General features: G+C 39.9%; 1 protein-coding gene across 8 annotated transcripts in view; it reads right to left on the minus strand.

Annotated features, from left to right (window-relative positions):
- Positions 1-20,614, minus strand: part of ELOVL7 (ELOVL fatty acid elongase 7) — a 92,479-nt gene that overhangs the window by 70,803 nt on the left and 1,062 nt on the right. The gene's annotated exons all lie outside the window — the stretch shown is intronic.

The raw sequence follows: 20,614 nt of genomic DNA on the forward strand, positions 1-20,614 counted from the left end.
TGGGAGGAAGGTCAAGGCTAAGGATACAGCTTTTGGAACTTCACATCTAGTTGGTGATGAAAACCACAGTAATAGATGCATGAGAACAATAGTGGTCTAAAGACAAACGCCTGGAGAATACCATCACTTAAGGGGAAGGCCAAAAGATGGAATCTCACAAAGGAGACAAAAAAAGAAAGAGTCAAAAAGACATGAGGAGAACTCAGTACGTGCAGGATCATGAAAACAAAAGTGGGAAAAATTCTGAAGAGGGAGGCAGGGATGAATAGGGTCAAATGCATCAGAGAGGTTCAGTGCATAGAGTGGAATGGTCTTCAGCAAATTCAGCCAACCTGGAAGCCTCTGTGACTGGAAGGAAGAAGAAATTAAGCAATGATAAGGCTGAAGCCAAAATGCAAAGGCAGGTGATTAATAGCAGGCATTGAACAGGTCTTGTTCACGAAGCCTGGTGGTGAAGTCTAGAAGAGAAGAAGGAGAGGCAAAATCAAGCTTTATTAGTCTTAAGGTGATAACTGTTGGAGTATTTTTACAGTGAGGGGATGAAGTAATAGAGAGAAACAAGAAGGAACAACCCATGAAGGTCTAGAGGAGAAAATGAGGGGGATGGTCAGAAGCCCTGCAAGGCAGCATTCTCCCTCCACTGGAGCAAGGGTGATACCTCCTCCGAGAAGGAAAACGGGAAAGAAGGGCGTGAAATAGATGAGTTAGTAAAGGGGAGGAAGCCTTCTCCAGAGCCTAAGTCTGGATTAGGGCCCTTCCTACATGCGCCCATAGCATGTACCATGTCCAGTAATTGCCTAATTGACCTGCCTGGATGCAGGGATAGACCATAAGCACCAGGAAGGCACGGACTATAACTGTCCCATTTACCACTCTATGTCCCATGCCTACCACAGTGCCTGGCTTATCTAAGCCCTAATTAAATGTATAGTTGACTAAATGGGGACTAAAAATTAAAGAGGATTCACCAATAGATGCTTCAATTTTTCTAGCAAGTAGGAAGTGGGATCAATTGCCAAGGGTTTATAAAACGGAGTTAGGTAGAGGGTTTTTTAGAGATTAGTGAAAGAATAGAATAGCTTTTCAGGGAAATGGAAACTGAAAATCCTTCAAGAACAAGTTTAAAGTAGTGGTTCTCAATCTTAGTTGCACATTAGAATCACCTAAAGAACATGAGTAACTACTGATGCTTGGGTCCTGCCTCCAAATTTCAGATTTAACTGGTCTCTGTAGCCTGGGCTCCAGGATTTTTTTAAGTTCCCAGATGATTCTAATATGCAGCCAAGATTGAGAGTCACTGAGTGAAAGACTTAAGTAATGCTGGTCAGGATTGAGACAAGACTGGAAACCATGAACTGATCCATTTACCATTTTACCCAGTTTTCCACCACACTGTTCAGCTACCTGGGTATCCCTGCAGAGGATTACTGTAGGATTAATTTGGAATTAGGGCTTTACCAGGTAAATATGGAAGTAGGATAAATAAAAAATTCAGACACTACCTGGGTATCCGTGCAGAGGATTACTGTAGGATTAATTTGGAATTAGGGCTTTGCCAGGTAAATATGGAAGTAGGATAAATAAAAAATTCAGACACCAAGGCAAAATTATAGTCTCTGAGAGAGTGAAGAGAAGGAGGTATAAGAGAGCTGAACAGCCAGAGACCTTTACAGTGCTGTAAAGGTTATCACAGTTGAGTCACACAAGGAACTTTAAGGCCGCTCACAAGTCGGCATTTGAAGGGACGTGGAAGTCTCCCAGAGCAACAGCAGGAGTAACGATGGAGAAACGTCAAAGTCTCTAAGGCATGTGGGATTGAAGCGAAGAACAAGAGACAAAGAAGACTAAGAAAGGCAGAGGCAACAAAGCCCAACAGTGAGATGTTCAAAAAAGGAGAGTTTTGTTTCATTTTCCTATGGAAGTGAAAAAGTAACAGTTAGATTCAAATGTGGCAATGGATAGATAGGGGAATCCTGGCCAGTCCACCCAGATCTTTAAATATGGAAGAAAGCCTCCATTTCTTTCTACATAAAATTCATGAACAAATCCTATCTTCTAAATATATTCTAGAATCCAACTACTTTACTTTAACGGTGGCCCAAGCCACTGTCCTGTCTTATCCGGATTGCTGCAGTAGCCTCTAAGCTGGTCTCCCTGACTTCATCTTTGTCCCTCTTTAATGTCTTCCTCAAGTTAAAAACAACAAAACAAAAACTCAAGTCATGTCCCTTCTCTGTTTAAAATGCACCAATATTTTCCCACCTCACTCACAATAAAAGTCAAAGTTCTTATAATGGGCTCCACGGCCTTACATGATCTGGGCCCTGACTACCTCTCTGACCTCTGACCTTTCCTTCTTCTCACTTCTTTTTTTTTTTTTGAGACAGAGTCTCACTCTGTCACCCAGGCTGGAGTGCAGTGGTGCGATCTCGGCTCATTGCAACCTCCACATCCTGGGTTCAAGTGATTCTCCTGCCTCAGCTTCCCAAGTACCTGGGACTAAAGGCACACACCCAGGCTGGTCTCAAACTCCTGACCTCAAGTGATCCACCCAAAGTGCTGGGATTACAGGTGTGCGCCACCATGCCCAGCCTCACTTCTCATACTTAGCTTCAACTGCATTGATCCCCTTGTCCTTCCCTGAACACACCAAGAATGCCCTGCCTCAAGGCATTGAAAATCACTGTCCCCACAACCTATAGTTCTTTTCCTCCAGATATCTGCCACAGCTTACTCCTTCACTTTCCTCAGATCCCTGCTAAAATGTCACCACTCCAACAACACGCACTTCCCTTACCTTGCTTTATTTTTCTGCATCGTACTTTTCAGTGTTATATATATTTATATGTATTTCACCAATATTCTAAATTTACTTGTTTACCGTCTGGCCCTCTCTGCCCCCAAGAATGCGCTATATTATAAGCTGCTTAGGGGCAGGGATGTTCTTCTGTTTTGTGCACTCTTACCTCTCTGGCACCTGAAACAGTGCTTGACGTGTAACAGACACTGAAATATTTGTTGAATGAATGGATGGATGAACCTTCTCATAAGCAGTGTATGGGCCTGAGGTTGAGGGAAAGAGCTGTGATTCAGTTATATTTGGAAAATGATGAGACTGGGGATACAAGAGAACTGGAACACAATGGAACACCAGTCTCAAAGAATAAAGGACAGAGCTGAAAGTATGGTTAATAGTAACAGGAGCCAATAGAAAGGCTATAATACCCAGTAAAGGGTTTCTCTTTTGGTCAGTAACCAAAAATTACAAGAATGAGAGGAAGGGTGGGAATCCATAGCCTTAAATACCCTGCCTTGAGACAAGCAAGAATTGGCAGTCATAGGTTCAGTCCAAGTAGGGACAGGAATAGGGCATGGAGCCCCATCTGGGGAAGGAATGCCCAGCGGTGGACAGGCAGGGCACATGGACTGATGAATCCTATAGAGAGCAAAAAGCATAATGGTCTTTCCTATTACAAATCTGAATACAGGGGAGGTATTACGGTACATATACACCAAATAGTACGTATCTATAAAATGTACAGGTAAGCCAGAAAGGGAGGAAAAATAAATGGTACTCAAGGAGAGGGGTGGTTAAGAAAAGTAACCAACAGTAAGATCAAATTAATTCATCCTGTTTTGTATTTATGAGTACAGTTCATTTATCCAGCCTCATCTTCTAATGCAGTGTTTCATAAAAGTATTTTAGATAACTGAAATGCTTATCTCTAGGTGTAATCAAAGATACACCTGCCCAGATACACCTGTATCTGTGATTCTGATTTTTTTTTTACTGTAAAACATTTTTTTAAAGATTTCAATCATCTTATAACTGAACTTTTCTGGATGATTCAGGGATACTATTAAGATAACAGTATCATAGCAGTGTCCTCTGGGACTACCCCTATTTATGGCTATGGATCTTTGCCCTGCACTAAAAGTTCCAAATTGCAAGGCATTTCTAATGCCAGTGCCTGTTTTTTAACAAATTTCCTGTCTCCTCCCTATCAGTTTGTTAGCTACTGCTCTTCTTACTGTTTGTTACTAGCATTCCTGTTTCTACAAAATCTCACTCATTCTAATTTGTTTTCCCTAATATGCTATGGGATGGGAAATGAGAAAAACAACAACATTGGAATGTTTAAAATAGTGCTAAGTGGGTGGAGATTAAAAACCAGGGGGTTTCCTTCTGGGTGGAGCACAGATGTACTCAAAAGACTTTGGGACATTGTTTTCTCTGCTTGGGGATAATTTCTCTGCTTACTCATTTCCAGAAACATTTTAGGTACTGAAACTTCATGATAAATGGCCTCTGGGTTAGCAGACTGTATTTGTATCCATACTACTTTCTTCAGTACAGTTAGACTAAAATGATTGTTATTAAGGTGTCTCAATTCTCTTTAACAAATTAAACATGAACACAGATTCAGAACAACAGAGGATCTTCATTTATTCCATGTCTGCAAAAAACATCTCTAATTGAGAACGAAATGTATAATTTAGTTATTTTAACTGAAGAAAACATTTTCCCAGGGAAAGTGTAGTTACACACCTAAGCTAGTAGACAAATTGATTTAATGCATAATCTGTGTATACATTTGCAATACAATATTGCTAAAAATATCATTACTTAATTTTTAGGTTACGTAATTTTGATATGAAGGAAAAGATGCCAGAAAAAACTTAGACTAATATTTCCTTCCACTATTTATCTGGATAATATATAGTTTAATTCAATATTTCCTCAATGTAGGTTCCTCCAACTATGGCCCTTTCAAACAACAGCTGAACATCAACAAACAAAAATTGTAGACAATGTGAAACTAAAACAATGACTACCCTATAAAAGCTGTCATGTCAAATATTTACAAATATCTTTCTAGGTAAACATAGAAAAACATTTTCTTCTAGACAATTTTATACAAGATACTCAAATACCATGGATTTTCTTCCTAGTTAGTTGGGAGTAGGAAAGAAATCCTGGTTATTCTGGCTGGCTTTAGCTACTATAATGAGATTTCATACATTTGATGTTTGAAAAAGCCTAATAATTTCTAGACCTTTAAATGCCCCATCATGAAAGAATTGCCCAGAAGAGTGAAAAGTCTCAAATTCTACAAATGAGCATGTAATTTATTAACTTAACCTGCAATGATTAATAGGGAATAGAAATAAAGGAATTTCCATGATCACAACCAACACATGCCCTTGCCCTAGTTTCCCCAGGTGACCAGTTTTGGTACCACAACCCACCTGTGGTACAGGCCCCAACCTTGGCCTCCCATCCTTCCTGCACACCCAGAATCTCTCCTTCTTCATCTTTCTTTCACTCTTTCTGCCCTTCTCACTCCTTTCCATCCACAGAGGCACACCCCCATCTAGGCTCTGTGCTGGACCAAGTCCTCAATTTCCCACATTTTACACCCCTAGTTCCCTCTCCCCTAACAGTGTGTCGAGGCAGCAATGTGAATCCCCAGCTCAAAGCACCTCTCACCAGGACCTTTGTCTTTTCAGAACCCTCTAGCAATTTGTTAGTGGAGTCTGGAACCAAGCTGGAATTCCTGCTTGTGGGCTTCATTAACAGGACCCCTTTGACCCCTCACCCTCACCTCGCACTCTGATTCCTGATAATCTTTCAGCCAAGTACACTTTTTTGCTGCTCCCTGCATTCTCTCTGTTACATCCTCATATGGTAAAAATTATAATAGGAATAAATTATGCAGAGACATGGAGGATTTAGCACTTTTCATTAAAAATTAACATATATCTTTAAGAGCACAAAAATTATTTCTACTACTGAAATTCTAAGAATAAATGGATTTTCTCTGCTTTATTAATTTAACAAAACATATACCTAACAGCTCATTTTTACTTTACTTCAGGTAAAGTATTTATAGCTTTAGAAAAATATATTAACTGTATCATAGTATAGAACCTTATGGAAACATGTCACACTGCTGACTTTTATGTATCCAGATCATACTTTTTCCCTGCGCTAAGCCCAAAAATGCATAGGAGAGTTTTAAAAAAATCATTAGGCATAGGTGAACACTGCATTTTGAATTTAAACCATGAGAATAAAGAAATAGCAAAGTTATTAAAATATAAAATGACAGATTGTTTACTAATGTATTAATAGTTATCTATAAGCAATAAGCACAGCTAAATAAGTTACTCGTATTGTTTTAAAACTTTTCTTGTGATATTTATATAATTTGCTACTTAGACTCCGTATCATCCTATTACCCAAGAATCTCTCACTACTTTTAGTCATAACAAAGTGGTGGTTTTTAAAAATGTTCAGATTGATTGGCTATTTGATGACATTAAGTTATTATTTTTAACTTCTTAGGCATGATAATGGTATGGCTGTAATTTTTTAAAGTCCTTATTTTTAGAGGTATACTGGAATATTTACAGATGAAATAAGATTAGCCATAATTCTGAGTGATGAGTATATCAGTTCATTACATCATTCTACTTTTATAAATGTTTAGAAATTTCTATAATAAGAGTTTTTTAAGAAAGAAATAAAATGTTCATGTTGGAAAGGTTTATATTTTATGTTTAGAGCTTTCAAAAAAAAAGCATACTAGGAGATGGTTCTTGTTCCTCATCTAAATATTTCCCAATTCTTTTCCTAGAGAAAAACTTTAACAACCTTTTTTAAAAGGCTACAAGAAGCCGCAAAGCAGTTTATCAAAATGTTAGCAATTGTTATTTCTGGTTGGTAAGATTATAAGGGATATCTGTTTTCTTTGATGTTATAAGTTTTTTTATTTGTTATTTTCTGTTAGAAGTTCTCTATATTTCTAAAGTCAGCATATATTATTAATATAGTCAAAAAATGAGTGAATTTTCTCATTACATGGAAGATTTTTGCATGTCAAGTACAGAAAATCTGTCTATATCATAAATCCCTCTATCTTTTATATTTACCATGAAAAATATTAATGAACACATGAACCCAGTTGTCTATAAATCTACCTGTTTGTGACAGCAGGATGGAAAGAGTGAGTTTCGATTGTCACAGGAGAAAGACATACTAGAGAAGAAGATAATTCTGGAATGATGAAAAGGCTGGTAAGATTTTGGTCTCATTCTGGCAAGGCAGACATATTGACTCATACAACTGAGTGCTCATAATGGGCTCTCTAAGGGCAGATGATAAACAGGAGTCAGGTATTTCTGGAAATGTGACATACAATATCTTACATCACTTTCATTTTACATTTGGCTTAGGCAAGGTTCATGAGTGGCTACTGATATATAGTTATACTTTTGTTTTCTCTTGTTTTTATTTTAGATGGGTAGGGAGATAGAAGAGAGAAAAAGTTTATTCTACCCTTGAATAGAGGAAACATTTACTGTAATTTTGGCTCTTTGCCTCCTACATCATCTGCTCCTCTTTCTCCTCCCCCTGATCATTTCATTTTGAGAAATCATTGTCCATTCTCTACGTGAGGCCTGGCTGACAGGTTCTTAAAATCCTTGCTCACAACCACAGCTCAGGGCTCCTGAGACTCAAACAGTATCAGAAACTGTCAGGTCCTTGGGGTTGGGGACCATGTCTCTATTCATTTATTCAACAAATATTTGGCACCTGCTATGTGCCAAGCAGCCTTCTTGACACTAGGGATACAGTGAGATCCCTGCTTTCATGGAGTTTACATTCTTGTGGGAAGACATACAAGTAAACAAACAGACAAACATAAATAAGACAAATAGTGGCAAAAGTGATGAAGAAAATAAAGCACAACAAAGTAAAGTAATAGTAACTGGGGCAGAGGGCTGCAACAGTAGAAGGGTAGTGAGAAAGAGCTAGGATACTGGGGAGGATGTGGCAGCTGAGTGGTCCTGAAGGATAACAGCAGAGGAACAGAAACCAGAGCACAAAGACAGTGATGCTGGATGGCACAGACAGCTGGGCATTGATGGTCTTCTAACCTCAGGTAAGGTACCTGGGTTTTATTCTAGGTACAAGAGGAAACCATCAGAGGCTTTTTTTTTCTTTCTTTCTTTTTTTTTTTTTTTGGTAGTATGACTATTCATTTTTCAATTTTAAAATTTATAGTAAAATACAAATAACTTAAAATTTACCATCTTAACCATTTTTAAAAGTATATTTCAGTATTAATGAAATACATTCAGACTGTTGTGCAACCATCACTACCATTCAATTCTAGAACTCTTCATCTTGTGAAACTGAAACTCTCATCAGAGGCTTTTAAGCAAAGCAGTACATGATCTGTCTTATGTTTTAAAAAATAATTTTTGCTTGGTAGAGAATTGATTATGGGAATACAGCAGGAGTAGAAGTTTACTGAAGTAGATGGTTCAGGATGGATTTTGTTGACACAGCTGACATGATTGCTGCTAATTCACATATGGGCAAGAGAAAGAGAAAAAATGAGGAGAAATGACTTCTATATTTCATATGTCCAGTGTCTAACACATTGCAAATAGCTAATGTTTATTACATAAATGAATGAATACTGATTTAACATTTAAAAAGTAAAAACCTTTCTTCCTAGACAACTAGGACAACAGAAATGAAACTACTATGGACACAGGAGATTACCTTCTTTCTAGTGTCTGTCTATAATAATCATGTCCTTATAACATGGATAAAGTCTGTACAGTTGGTTCATGTTAACCTAATCTGCCTAATTTCAATATTATCATTAAAGGCCAATCCTTTATAATGTATACAGTAAGTTAAATTTTACTAAGCATTTTACATATATTATTTCATCCCTTTCTAAATTAATAGCTTTTAAAATTTGAGACTATGGTGCTATAGGCCACCTCCCCAGAGATTACATGTATACACAAATGTGATGTTTTGGGAGTTTATGGACCTTCTGAAGTCCATCCATAGACCAGCCTCAAGTTTTAAAAGGTTCTTCTCTGTCTAGTGCTAGAGTATTTATTGTATACATCATCAGGAGAATCTTATTAGCGTAGCCCTGGAGGTTTTAGAGAAATGCTTTCAAAGAGTTTACCTTCATTAACATCCACAATTCGTGAGTTATCAAGAACCAATATTAATTTTTAAAATATCTTTGCATCTTTAGCAAAACTGTTAAAGTATTATCCATAAAGCGATTCAAGATCCTCTTTATTAGGGCCAATTTGATAAATTCCTTTTGCACTTTACTTCTAGGACAAAAAGTACCTTATATATTTATGCTTTTAAAGAAGCAAAAAACAAACCATTAGAGTTGTGGTTACTCTTTCAATATAAGCTCCGGGCTAACTGTTAAAATCTAGTGTTCCATTTATCACAACTGCATTACCTAGATTTTCCCCTTCTATGCTTGGATCTTAATATATTTATTGTAAGCATTTCAAGTCTTTCTGGGAAAAAAGTAGAATGTGAATTATATATGATCATATTTAAAATCTGCAATATTACTATTTCATAAGCATATCAGCTGCCTCTCCCAAACCAGCACTTTTTTTCTGAAGATAAGAAAATAAACTCTAAGGCAACGTGTAGTAAGCAGCAGGATGTATAGTCAGAATCTTTGTATTCCAGGAACCCAGGTCTGCCAGCCACCACTCAGGTGACCTTGGGGAAAATCACTTAAATTTCTTGGAGCCTCAGAATTTTTGGTCTCTAAAAGTGAATTTAGAGCACACACAACAGGCAGTGTTGCAATCAGAATTAAGCAGCAACATATATTTGCCTGTTAATAAGTAGATGGCAACTCCTACTTGCTCTGTGCTCTGTCTACTGATGAAATAGTAAAACCTAAGGATTGGGGATTGATAGATTTTTTTTTTTTTTGAGACGGAGTCTCGCTCTGTTGCCCAGGCTGGAGTGCAGTGGCACCATCTTGGCTCACAGCAACCTCTGCCTCCTGGGTTCAAGCAATTCTCTTGCATTAGCCTCCCAAGTTGCTGGGACTACAGGCACCCACCACCACACCTAGCTAATTTTTGTATTTTTAGTAGAGATGGAGTTTCACCATGCTGGCCAGGATGGTCTTGACCTCTTGACCTTGTGATCTGCCCACCTCAGCCTCCCAAAGTGCTGGGATTACAGGCGTGCGCCATCGCGCCCAGCCGGAATTTTTTTTTTTTTGAGAGTGCAGATCAAAGCAATGTGCACTAACTCTCCATTAACCTTCCCCCTTCCCAATTCCAAAAATGCCACTTCCATGAGTGAGATACTCAGGCAGTCACCTAATGGGGATAAACTCAAGTGCTAAGGGCAGAGAATAAGAAAAGGAAGAGGGCTGTTAGATAAAGTCCATGGCTTGGGCTAGGTAATTTAGTCACCTCTGCTAAAATAATACAGTTTTTTCTTTGACACCTTTACTCATAGTTCAGGGTTAGGTTTTATAATACATGGGCCTCAGGACTAGGCACAGCATTGCATTGACTTGAGCTTCAGTTTCTGTACTTGTAACATGGGGGAAGCATAATCCTCGCCCTGCCGTATTCTACAGTAACCTCTGTAGGAGTAATTAATGTTACTTGTAGACAAAGATGGAGGGGGGCAATCCAAGAGCTTCAAAAATTCAGTGTCAAGTCATATTCAGAAATAAGGCTAATGATGAAAATATGATTATCAGCTAGAAAAGCAATTGGGCTCTAGTTGGGAGAACTTGTTTCTGGTCCCAAAATACTAAACAGGACTGTGGTCTTGGCCAAACGAAATGGCCTCGTGTCCTCAACAGTATAAGAGGTCAGCCTGAATGACCTCTCAGGTCCTTTGCAGCTCAAAACACTAATGTTTCTCTGAAAAATGACCAACATGCCCATGACCCAGCAAAGGCTTCAATTCTCAGATCCTTGGGTGGGACAATGCTGAGAGATGTCCTGTGGGACTGAGCGCCAGGTGCCCACAGAGGTAGTAGACTCTTCATTAACACTCCCTGTGTTGGCCGCCTCCTTTTCTTGTCTCACTTCCCCACTCCCCAACTTCTGGTACTATCTAGGATTATCTCCCAAATAAGTTATTTACACTAAAAAAAGAAAAAAAAATTAAACCTACATTAGAAATTAAATTCAGTTTTAAAGTACTAAGTTATGAAGTAGTAAGCACATGAGCACTGGAGTTCAGACTAAACTAGATTAGTGATTCCCAGTGCTATCACTAATCATGTGACCTTGGGCAAGGTTCTTCACTTCTATTTGCACCAGTTTCCTTGCTTATAACATGGGAAGAATACCACCTTCTAGGGCTTCTGTGAGGACTAAATGAGATAAGGCATAAATAGACTTTAGCACAGTGGCTGGAATATAGCCAGTGCTTAATAATTGCTATTATTATAAAATATAATTTTATTTTTCTCATTTTATAAGTTTGGCCTTTTTTCATCAACCTACTAATACTTCAGAAAAGAATAACTATACTTTTATAATTACTATTTGAATCTAAAATAAGTTACACCTTGACCAATTCAACTTGTCAGCTTAATAACACTAATAAATTTTTCAAGTTTAATAAACTCTAGCTAATGATATATTTTTGCTTTCAGTTTTTATGTAAGCCATTAAATGCAGGTAGGAAGCAGCTCTAAGTTCTACATATTGGTTCACATTATTTTTTTTTTTTGAGACGGAGTCTCGCTCTGTCGCCCAGGCTGGAGTGCAGTGGCATGATCTCGGCTAACTGCAAGCTCTGCCTCCCAGGTTCACACCATTCTCCTGCCTCAGCCTCCCAAGTAGCTGGGATTACAGGTGCCCGCCACCACACCTGGCTAATTTTGTTTTCGTATTTTTAGTAGAGACGGGGTTTCACCGTGTTAGCCAGGATGGTCTCCATCTCCTGACCTTGTGATCCGCCCGCCTCGGCCTCCCAAAGTGCTGGGATTACAGGCGTGAGCCACTGCGCCCGACCGGTTCACATTATTAAAATAAACTTAAATGTTATATAGATGTTATTAATGAAAGCCCAATTTAAAATAAGAAGCATGAGCCAGGCAGAGTAGCTTACACCTGTAATCCCAGCTACTTGGGAGGCTGAGATGGGAGGAATGTTTGATGCCAGAAATTTGAGATCAGCTTGGGCAACATGGTGAGATCCTGTCTCTCAAAAAATGATATAAAATAAGAAGTATGAGTTGATTATATACCATTAGTATGGAATGCTAAGTGAAGGTTCTGACTACTTACTACACTATAGCGTAAACTATTACAGTCAGACTAACAGGAGCAGGAATTCTGACTAGTTTTGGTTAGTTGATTTTTAAAAATTTATTTATAGCAAAGAATGAAAAATTTATTTAGATACTATAAACACTTACTTTTTAAAAAAATATATAAATAGGCATTAATTCTCCAATTTTCCAAAGTAGTCCCAAGGGCTGGGCACAGTGGCTCACACCTGTAATTCCAGCACTTTGGGAGGCCAAGGCGGGCAGATCACTTGAGCTCAGGAGTTCAAGACGAGCTTGGGCAACACAGAAAAACCCTGTCTCTACCAAAATACAAAAATTAGCCGGGCGTGGTGGCACACACCCGTAGTCCCAGTTACACGGGAGACTGAAGTGGGAGGATCAATTGAGCCCGGGAGGTGGAGGTTGCAGCGAGCTGAGAGCAAGCCACTGCACTCCAGCCTGGGTGACACAGTGAGATCCCATCTTGAAAAAAAAAAAAAAAAAAGACAGAGTAGTCCCAAGACTGTACTTGAGGAAGAGCTCCTCACCAATATTTTTCTGCTATAAACCATACCTAGAACTTAATCTACAATTTCCAGTTTTAACTTTCTAAGTGAATTAAAAACAAAGCAAAACAAAATAAAACAACTACACACACTTTTAAGGCAAGCTCAGGATATTTTTCAAGTTTTTACAATTTCTGTTTTTATTTTTGAATTTTTTTTTTAGACAGGGTCTCACTCTGTCATCGAGGCTGAAGTACAGTGGTGCAATCACAGCTCACTACAGCCTCGACCTCCTGGACTTAAGGGATCTTCCCACTTCAGCCTCTGGAGTAGCTAGGACTACAGACGCATGCCACCACACCCAGTTATTTTTTAAATTTTTTGTAGAGATGGATGTCTCACTATGTTGCCCAGGCTCGTCTTCAACTCCTGTCCTCAAGTGATCCTCCCACTTAGGCTTCTCAAAGTGGTGGGATTACAGGCGTGAGCCACTGCACCCAGCCATCTTTCTGATTTTTTTAGTTTTCCTGACCCCTTAGTGACTCACTTTTATGGAACCTTTCCAAAGAATTCAACATTCCTTTCACAATAACAATATTCTTTTTTTGCACTTACGTTTCATAAGTTCACGCATATCTAAATTATCTATCACAATAACAAATATAACTGGCACTAACATGTTTGCAATAAATACAATAAATTGTTGTTAAGCCAATAACCCAGCAGTTGGAGAAGGAAGAAGACTACTAGAAGCCACTGTTCATCATGCCTGGGCACCACCCCATGTGCTTATAGGGAAATGAAGAGCATAGGCTCATTGGTCAACTGTTAGATGTCAACGGTATTGTATTTGAATCAGGATGAACCATATGCAAACTGCCAACATCCAACTGTTTATTCACCTACAGAAAGGGCAATTGCATATGTTCAACCATATATATATATACACATTTTATTTAAAAACACTGACTATATTTTATGTTAAATATCACATCCACTACCATTTTTTTCCTTTAGAAGAATGAATAGTGGTTCTCACAGCTTGATTTAAAAAATTCCATTCCACATTGGCTCAGGAACTCACCCTAAGCTACTGAATAATTCGTCATTGGACTCTGGATTCCTAGGAATGCCATTTCTATCTTCTTTCTTTCTTCAAGTTAAAGTCACACCTGTTAGTCACACACGAAGAAGAGGATGAAGGATGAAGCTATCAGCTGTGCTTTCTAGCTAACTGAATGATAAGCAGCAAAGGGATTAAAATGTGGGTCAACATTGTTCGTTGGCTGGTTTATTTCTGAGACATAAATCTTTCTGTCCTACAGGATGCAACACAGCACTGTCTGCCTGAAGAAGGTACAAAAAGACAGGTAAGACTCTGAGGGGCAGAGAAGCCCCTGAACAGACTTAAAATAAGTCACCCTTAAGTAATAAGTGCCCTTTACTTTTGTTCTGCCCTTGTTAGAGCATTTAATTAAAATAAACACACAAACAAATCACAAGCGTGCTATTAGGACAAAACCCAAAAATTTGGGACAGAAAGAAGGAGAAGAGTTGGGGGATGGGGCTGTATTTAGATTAAGGGCTGCTAGTGAAACTCTCTTTGTCTAGATCTCACGTTTCTACCATTGACACTAAAAAATCTAAATTGGGTTTATTTTTATGGTTGCCCTTACGCCCTCACAAAACTATTGTAAGATATCAGAGTCCTAGGGCCTCCTATATTCTCAAAAATATCAACCCAGAGAGTTAGTATTCAGAGTGGGGAGAGCCTAAACCTTGTAATTACACCTAGGTTTAAATCCTGGCTGCATACTTCTACCAGTGTAGCCTGAGCACCCTTTCTGCTTTTTTCACCTTTCTGTACCTGTGCATATGATGAGCCAGACTTTGCTGGCTTCAAAGGATTCATTAGAAAATACAAGTAAAGAGACTCACTGCAGGCTGGGTGCAGTGTCTCACGCCTGTAATCCCAGCACTTTGGGAGGCTGAGGCGGGCAGATCACCTGAGGTCGGGAGTCGAGACCAGCCTGGCCACCACGGTGAAACCCCGTCTCTACTAAAAATACAAAAATTAGCCGGGCAGGCGTGGTAGGGCGGGGGGGTGGGGGGGGAGTGGGGGGTGGGGGTGGCGCTTGTCAGGAGGCTGAACCAGGAGAATTGCTTGAACCTGGGAGGCAGAGGTTGCAGTGAGCCAAGATCACAACATTGCACTTCAAACTGGGTGACACAGTGAGACTCCACCTCAAAAAAAAGAGAGATTCATTGCAACTATTACTTATGCCTAAAAGATGACAAACCTTTCACCCCATAATTTTCAATAAGATGTTTTAAATGTAAATGCAGCCTTGAGTATCCTGTAAGGACAGAGGTACAGATGATGCCCATGAAGTTGATTTTCTGTTTCAAAATTCACATGCAAGCTAAGCATAATCAAGATATCTAATGTAGGCTGGGCGCAGTGGCTCATGCCTGTAATCCCAGCACTTTAGGAGGCCAAGGCAGGTGCATCACCTGAGGTCGGGAGTTTGAGACCAGCCTGACCTAACATGGACAAACCCCGTCTCTACTAAAAATACAAAATTAGCCAGGCATGATGGTGCATGCCTGTAATCCCAGCTACTCGGGAGGCTGAGGCAGGAGAATTGCTTGAACACGGGAGGTTGCAGTAAGCCAAGAGCATGCCATTGCACTCCAGCCTGGGCAACAAGAGCAAAACTCTGTCTCAAAAAAAAGATATCTAATGTAAACAAGGAAGGTAGCTGTCCTTTCCAGATCAGATAGGGAAATGAGATAAAGGCCTGATGGGAGGAGGAGAGGTTTCATAAAGGTGAAATGGCAAGCGCCAGAGAGATTCAAATCTTAACACATCCTTTTCCTTCTTACAGGCTTCCCAGGATTCCCCACTGACATTATGATAAAATCCAAAACCTTTATGGGGTCAAAAAATGCTCTCAGTAAGCCTGGCCTCTGCATGCCTAGGCAACTTCAACTCACACCCTCTTCCTAGTTACTTTAAAGTATCTGCATCTCCCTGATCGCACCTGCACTCTCTCCCTAGATTCTATTTCCCACTCCTCGTCCCATTTCTCAGCTGCCCTAACTCGCACTCTTCCTTCTTTCCTCTCAGAAGGACTTCCTGTCTGCCCGCCTCTGCCTTGCCTCCCCAGGACCTGGTCTGTGTATATCACAGCACAGTTTATCATACTGAACTGTAATTTTGTAACTTACATTTACTTGTCTATAACTCACATGGACCTGGACTGGCTTTAGCAATCTGCCAGCCCCTTTGCCTGACACAAAGCTAACACTCAAATGTTTGTTGAGTGTGCAGCTTCTGAAACTCCCCAGTTTTATCTAGGTTTGGCTCTTTTACCCTACATTAGAAAGTCCAAGAAGCAGGGCTGCTGGTGTTCATGGCTTAAGTAGCTGCTTATCCAGATTGATTAAGATTTGTCTTTAACATGGGGAATTTGTAAGCTATGTGGAAACTTATCTCATTTGAATAATAGTCTGTTTAAAAATATTTATGAGTCAGGTGTGGTGGCTCCTGCCTGTAATCCCAGCACTTTGGGAGGCTGAGGAGGGCAGATCACCTGAGGTCAGGAATTCAAGAGCAGCCTGGCCAACATAGTGAAACCCCGTCTCTACTAAAAATATAAAAATTAGCCATCTTGGTGGTGAGTGTCTGTAATCCCAGCTACTCAGGAGGCTGAGGCTGGAGAATCACTTGAACCCAGGAGGCAGAGGTTGCAGTGAGCAGAGATAGCGCCATTGCACTCCAGCCCAGGCGACAAGAACAAAACAGTGTCAAAAAAAAATATATATATATATATATTTATGATGGGCCAGGCATGATGGCTCACGCCTGTAAGCCCAGCACTTTGGGAGGCTGAGGTGAGCAGATCATCACCTGAGTTCAGGTGTTCGAGAACAGACTGGCCAACATGGTGAAACCCCATCTCTACCAAAAATAAATAAATAAATAATTAGCTGGGCATGGTGGCATGAGCCTGTAGTCCCAGCTACTCAGGAAGCTGAGGCAGGAGAATCACCGAACCTGGGAGGCAGAGGTTGCAGTGAGGCAAGATCGCACAACTTTATTGGTCGACAGAGCAAGATTCCGTCTCAGAAAAAAAAAGAAAGGAAAAGAAATTATGATGGTATGCCAACTTCTATCATTTACAAAAAGAGTGATTTCACTTGCCAATGTAATAATATGTACTTTTAGAAATCAATTAGGAATAATGGAAATTTCAAATTTTTTCAAAGACCAGTGATATAAAATGCCCAACTGGTATTAGTTTTCAACTTTTTGCAACTGTGCATGGTCAAAACTGGATGAGTCACTGAAACACATGTAAGACATATTTCTAAAAGTGTGTTTATGGCATGCTTCTTTCCATGCTACGTGATGTATCTTCTTGAAATTCTGGCTATTCTCAGTTTAACATGCTACCATTTACCATGGCTCCGGAATTCCGTGTTTGGTAAATAGCAACCTTCCAGGCCATGTGCAATGGCTCACATCTGTAATCCTAGCACTTTGGAAGGCTGAGGCAGGAGAATCATTTCAGCCCAGGAGTTCAAGACCAATGTGGGCAACATAGTGAGACTCTGTCTCTATAAAAGATACAAAAAATTAGCCAGGCATGGTGACATGTGTCTGTAGTCTCAGCTACTGGGGACTCTGAAGTGGGAGGATTGCTTGAGTCTGGGGATTGAGGCTGCGGAAAGCCATGACTGTGCCACTGCACTCCCGCCTGGGTGACAGAGAGAGACCCTGTCTCGGGGGGAGAAAAGAGCATCCTTCTGTATCTTAAAACTGATAAGCACAAGTGGCACATCATGGAGAATAAACAAATCTCAAAAATTAGAAAAAATCCTACTTTCTCAATTTGCCTAGAAATTATTTGCAGATAGGCGCTTTCTTTTATGCACATTTGAAAACCCTATGGCAGGTTGAATTGTGTGCCCCAAAGAGGATATGTTGAAATCCTAACCCCCAATACCTCACAGTGTGCTATTATTTGGACATTGAATTTTTGCAGATGTTAAAATGAGGTCATACTGGAGTGGGATGGGCCCTAAATCCAATATGACTGGTGTGTTTATAAGATGGTTATGTGAAGACACAGACACAAAGGGAAAATGCATATGAAGACAGAAGCAGAGATTAGAGTGATGCCAGCACAAGGAATATCAGAGATTGCTGCTGTCACCAGAACCTAGGAGAAGCATGGAACAAATTCTCCCTCAGAGCTTTCAGAAGGGTTCAACACTGCTGACACCCTAATTTTAGACTTGTAGCCTCCAGAACTGTGAGACAATAAATTGCTGTTTTTTCAAGCTACCCAGTTGGTGGTACTTTGTTATGGCAGCCTGAGGAAACTAATACAACATTTAATAATACTGTTCATGTTTAATTGAATTGCTGTTACTTCCTAGAGAGAGAAGTTAGGTAAAATGCATTGATCCTCTTTTTAAAATCGCTTTTAGAAATCTGACAGCATGTATTGAGAACCATAAAAATGACCATACTTGCTGACGAAGTAATTCTACTTCTGGAACAGTATCATTAGGAAATGAGTCCCAACTTGTAAAATGATACAACTGCAAAGATAAGTATTACTATAACTTAGGTTGTTTATAATTTGTTGCTAATATACTTGTCCAACAATAGAGTTTTAGTTAAGTAAATCACATTATAATTACTAGAATACAAACAATATGAGTTCTGAAAATTACATAAGATGAAAAATGCTTACTAGGTATTATATGGAAAACACAGAATACTAAAAAAAATTACTTTCCTTTTTTTTTTTTTTTTTTTTTAAGACAGAGTCTCCTTTGTTGCCCAGGCTGGAGTGCAGTGGCATGATCTCAGCTCACTGCAACCTCTGCCTCCTGGGTTCAAGCGATTCTCCTGCCTCAGCCTCCCAAGTAGCTGGGACTACAGGCATGTGCCAACACACCCAGCTAACTTTTGTATTTTTAGTAGAGATGGGGTTTCACCATTTTGGCCAGGCTGGTCTCAAACTCCTGACCTAAGGTGATCCACCTGCCTCAGCCTCCCAAAGTGCTGGGATTACAGGGGCGAACCACTGTGCCCAGCCTGAGAATACTAAAATACTATATGGAGTATGATGAAGGAAAATATGCATAGAAAAAAAGAGAGAGACAAAGGCAACCTGGTTAAATATTCATTGTGGTAGAATTATGTTCAGTGGGTCTGAACTCTCTTCTTGGCTCCCTGATCTTATCCTTTTGGTACCAATTTCCAGTCTTATTTTCTCTCTCCTCAAGCCTCTCCATGCACAGCCAATTCTTTCTTGGCAATGCCTCTTGGGAGCAGTCCAGGCCCACTTCACCTTATACAGGTTTTTGTGAAAAGATTCCTATTTGGCCTGACTGTAGCCTATCTATGGCCAGAATAACACTGTCGTTCTATTGCTGAATACATCTACTGTGTTAATCTGTCCATTTATGTTTTATGCACTTTTATGTATGTGCTACGTTTTTCAATAAAAAGGTTTTTTTTTAACTTTATGTGTTTTCATATTTTGTTTTGTCAAGATAAGGATAAATGGTTTTCTGCTGATTTGCTTCATTATACCTCTAAATGTAATGTTTCATCAGAACAGCTGGGTACCTGTTTGTGACAATGGAGTGAACACAGGCTTTTCTCCCCTTCATGTACAATGTCTACCAGCTCCTACACGTTTACCAATGCAAACTCCGTAACTTCCTGTAAAACCTGGCTTAAAAATTTCCATCATCAAACCTGCCTGATGTGTGCTACCAAAATTTATACTGTATCATCTTCTACATTTATCAAGCAACTACTAGCTGTAAGGCCTGAAGATTTAATGTCCTAAGCTGTTTGCAATCTTTTTGTGCAAAGCAAACATAAAAGATGATAACAAATAGCAGAGAAGGGCATATGTGTTCAAAGTGGGGAAGAGGGAGAGTGGTGAAGAGAGGATGGGAGTGGGCGAGACTGATAAAGGCTAGAAGACACCATGTAAAAATTGGATAGAAGATATTTAACGAATGGGAGAGGAATGGCACGGCACCTTGGAGACCAGGATAATGGCAGGACCCTTAATGGAAATGAGCATCTGGAGCTGTTTTGGGGAAAAGCCGGGCAAGTCCAAGCGGAATATTATAATGTGCACTGACAGACGTTACACTAAAACTGAAGAAGACATGGAAAGCACAGAATCTTAAGCCAGATAAATACAGGTGATAGATGAAGTAACAAAGTCCCAAAAATCTATTTTTCTTAAAAAAAAAAAAAGCGGGGGCAGGGGGAGGGTGTGGGGATCCTAAACTAGTATAAAGACACATAAGAAGGAAAAGAGGGACCTGAGATTGACAGCCTGGTCAACGATGCCTGAAACAGCACGGGACTTCAGAAAATAAGGACGAGCAAACGAACTCTAGGTGAGGCAGTGTAGGACAGTGGTTAACAGCTCCAGTGCTGGAGACAGAACCCCAGAGCTGGAATCTCCTACCGCTGAGATGGGTGTGGCCTTGGGCAAGTTACTTAACCTCTCCGTGCCTCAGTTACCTCATCATTAAAATGAGAATAATATTAATATCTACTTCCCAGGATCGTTGTGAAGATTAAAAGCTTTTACACAAGAACTGACATCAGTGCCTGGCACCTAAGCACTGATAAATGTCTGCCACGGGGTGAGGGGTGGATTTTATTTAGTTCTCGGTGACCTTGGGGAGACCAATTTCTGATCAGTAGTACGAAGAGAAACTACAAAGAAAGGGAATGAATAAGCGGGTGCGTGGTAAGAACGCAGAGGCAGCCACCAGGTATCGATGACCCTTTCGGAGCACGTAAGCAATAAAAGTGAGGAATGAAATAAAGGGTAATCCGAGAGCACAGGGTTAAGTGAACATGCTTTCCGAGGGGAGATCGTAGCAAGAGGGAAAAGACCACTGGCGAGGAACTCGGGTCGCTAAAACTGTTCTTCAGTCGAC

Source organism: Homo sapiens, chromosome 5 (assembly GCF_000001405.40).
Source record: "Homo sapiens chromosome 5, GRCh38.p14 Primary Assembly".
Classification (NCBI taxonomy): domain Eukaryota; kingdom Metazoa; phylum Chordata; class Mammalia; order Primates; family Hominidae; genus Homo; species Homo sapiens.